General features: G+C 44.1%; 1 protein-coding gene across 6 annotated transcripts in view; it reads right to left on the reverse strand.

The window, feature by feature from the left end:
• The window catches only part of POC1B-DUSP6 (POC1B-DUSP6 readthrough), a 177,983-nt gene that overhangs the window by 46,785 nt on the left and 127,848 nt on the right, over nt 1-3,350 (reverse strand). The window lies entirely within an intron of this gene.

Here is a 3,350-nt window from a genome sequence, read left to right on the forward strand (position 1 = left end):
CCAGCAGAAGTGCAAGGTTTTTAATTCCAATTTCAAAAGGCTTACAGAGCAGCTCTGCCTTGATCTGTTTTAACATTTTGTATGACAGTTTGCTATATTCCTTGTTTGGAAGAAAGAGATTCTCAGGTTTAAAAAATGTTTGAAAAGTTCTAACAGTAATGAGAAACAATTAGATTTAAATACATAAGGCCCATCACATAGATCGTGGGGTGTGAGCAGGTGATTTGGGGGAGAGAGTAAAGAGCCAAGACAGAAGGGTCTGAAGACGCATAGCCTCTGCCTGTCCCACCAGAGGTGCCATGAGTTTCAAAGGTCAGCTGTTTGCTTTCTTTTCAAGCTTCCTCTGTAGAGTCCTGTCAGCAAACTCATTCCACGGCATGTTTGGCCATTTTCCTAGGCCAAATGGCTTGCATCCCCACTTTGTGGGAGAGGGGGACTAAAAGGATAATTTTTAAAAATTGACTATTACAATAGAGTCTTCTTCTCTTAGACAAATGGTTAACATATGGGGAGGGTAGGCCGGGCGCGGTGGCTCACGCCTGTAATCCCAGCACTTTGGGAGGCCGAGGTGGGCAGATCACGAAGTCAGGAGATCAAGACCTTCCTGACCAATATGATGAAACCCTGTCTCTACTAAAACTATAAAAAATTAGCCGGGCATAGTGGTGGGCACCTGTAGTCCCAGCTACTCAGGAGGCTGAGGCAGGAGAATGGCGTGAACCCGGGAGGCAGAGCTTGCAGTGAGCCGAGATCGGGCCACTGCACTCCAGCCTGGGCGACAGAGCGAGACTCCGTTTCAAAACAAACATACAAACAAACAAATAAACAAAATATATATATGTGGAGGGAGAAGAACAGAGTGAGAAAAAGAAAATAACCTAGAAATGATATAAAATTGAATTAATCCAGCCAGACATTTTTGGGGGTTGTCACACCAACCAAATCCAGGGAGAGACTTCTCATTGTCATCTGCATGTAAATAGTGTTCCCCCTGGAGTCATGCAGTGCACGACCAGTTGACTATATGGGGCAGCAACAGTTCATGACAGTTCTGTAAATATCCACCAGGGAATGGCAGCTTGTGTTTACGTTTGACCAATTCACGAACTCTAATTCAAACAGTTAGGATTGCTTGGTTTTAACAAGATGGCTTCTCAAATTCCACAAATTTTCTTTAAGATCATTCCATAATTTTCTGAAGAGCAGAGATTTTCATTCTCTTGAATCCCTGCAATTATTAAAGGAAAAGGAGATGTGCGTGTTTATGTGTGTGCGTGTGTGTGTACTGACAAGTGATCAAGATGACAGGGGAATTTGGGAAGATGCTAAAAATAAAGGCTGCTAAGAAAGATTTCAAGGTCAGGCCAGGCGAGGTGGCTCATGCCTGTAATCCCAGCACTTTAGGATGCTGAGGTGGGTGGATCACGAGGTCAGGAGTTCAATACCAGCCTGGCCAACATAGTGAAACCCTGTCTGTACTAAAAATACAAAAAACTAGCCAGGCGTGGTGGCAGGCACCTGTAATCCCAGCTACTTGGGAGGCTAAGGCAGGAGAATCTCTTGAACCCAGGAGGCAGAGGTTGTAGTGAGCTGAGATCACACCATTGTACTCTAGCCCAGGTGACAGAGTGAGACTCCGTTTCAAAAAAAAAAAAAACAAGAAAGAAAGTCTGATTGGAGTGAGTTTAACAAAGAATGGGTGGAACTGGAAACAGTGAATGAAGACAACACTTTCTAGGGGTTTTTCTACAAAGAGAAGAAAAATAAATCTGCAGCTGAAAATGGAAATGGGGCCTAGAGAAGGGTTTTGTCTATTCGGGTTTTGTTTTTGTTTTGACATGGGGTCTTGCTGTGTTGCCCAGGCTGGTCTCGAATCCCTGTACTCATGTGATCCTTCTGCCTCAGCCTCCCAAGTAGCTGGGACTATAGGTGACAGCCACTAAGCCCAGCTTGTCTATCTCTAGATGCAAAAAATTAAAGCTGCATGCTGATGACAATGAACCACAGAAGAAAAAGAAGAAAAACTTGATGGTTCAAGTAAGAGAAATTTGCCAAAATAAAGTTTTTTAGAGACTTACTGGAGCTACATCCTCGGGTAGGCAAAGGGGGCTAGGATCCAGTGCCCAAAGTGAAGTCAGTTCTTCCATGTCAAGAGAAGGGGAGGCAAGGCTTAGGGTCGCAGATACTGGAAGGTGGGTAGAAGGGTTGGTGGGGATTTCAAAAACTTCCAGAGGCATCTATTTTCTCACCAAAATAGGAAGCAATGCCATCAGCAGAGAGTGGGCAGTCTGAAAGTGTAAAAGAATGAGCCGACTAGGGAAATGGCATATGATTATTAGGACATATGAAAGAGATGAACAGGTATAACTTTACGATTATTATTATTTTTGAGACAGAATCTGGCTCTGTTGCCCAGGCTGGAGTGCAGCGGTGTGATCTCAGCTCACTGCAACCTCCGTCTCCTGAGATCAAGCAATTCTCCTGCTTCAGCCTCCTGAGTAGCCAGGATTACAGGTGCACACCACCGCACCTGGCTAATTTTTGTATTTTTAGTAAAGACAGGGTTTTGCCACGTTGGCCAGGCTGGTCTTAAACTCCTGACCTCAAGTGATCAGCCTACCTCGGCTTCCCAAAGTGAGCCACCGTGCCTGGCCAGAAGAGGTATAACTTTAGAGCAGGAAAATCAGGAAAGAAAGAAAACTTAAATATGTATAAACTCTCACTTGGCAACACCACTTCTGGGAATTTTTCTTAAGGAAATGATTAAGGAACTTTGCCTGAATGTTCACTGGCTGGACTGTTTGTAAGAGCAGGCAGTTAGAAACAAATCTAAGAGCCTCACAATAGCAGATTGGTTATATTTAACCAATTTCCTAATCGGTGCAGCCTTTCCAATGTATTTGGTGTATACGTTGATATTGGAAGTTATTAATCATACATTTAGAAGAAAAAAAAGTCCCCATGTTTGTAAAAACTTTTACTTGTATGTTTATCTCTATCGATTAATATGCATCTATGTGTTTAAAATTGGTAATCCTGGCCGGGCGCAGTGGCTCAAGCCTGTAATTCCAGCATTTTGGGAGGCTGAGGTGGGTGGATCACGAGTTCAAGAGATAGAGGCCATCCTGGCCAACATGATGAAACCCCATCTCTACTAAAAATACAAAAATTAGCTAGGCGTGGTGGCATGCACCTGTAGTCCCAACTACTCGGGAGGCTGAGGCGGGAGAATCGCTTGAACCCAGGAGGTGGAGGTTGCAGCGAGCTGAGATCATGCCACTGCACCCCAGCCTGGGTGACAGAGTGAGACTCCGTCTCAAAAAAAAAAAAAAAAAAAAAGCAACATGACC

The sequence above is a fragment of the Homo sapiens genome, chromosome 12 (assembly GCF_000001405.40).
Source record: "Homo sapiens chromosome 12, GRCh38.p14 Primary Assembly".
Classification (NCBI taxonomy): domain Eukaryota; kingdom Metazoa; phylum Chordata; class Mammalia; order Primates; family Hominidae; genus Homo; species Homo sapiens.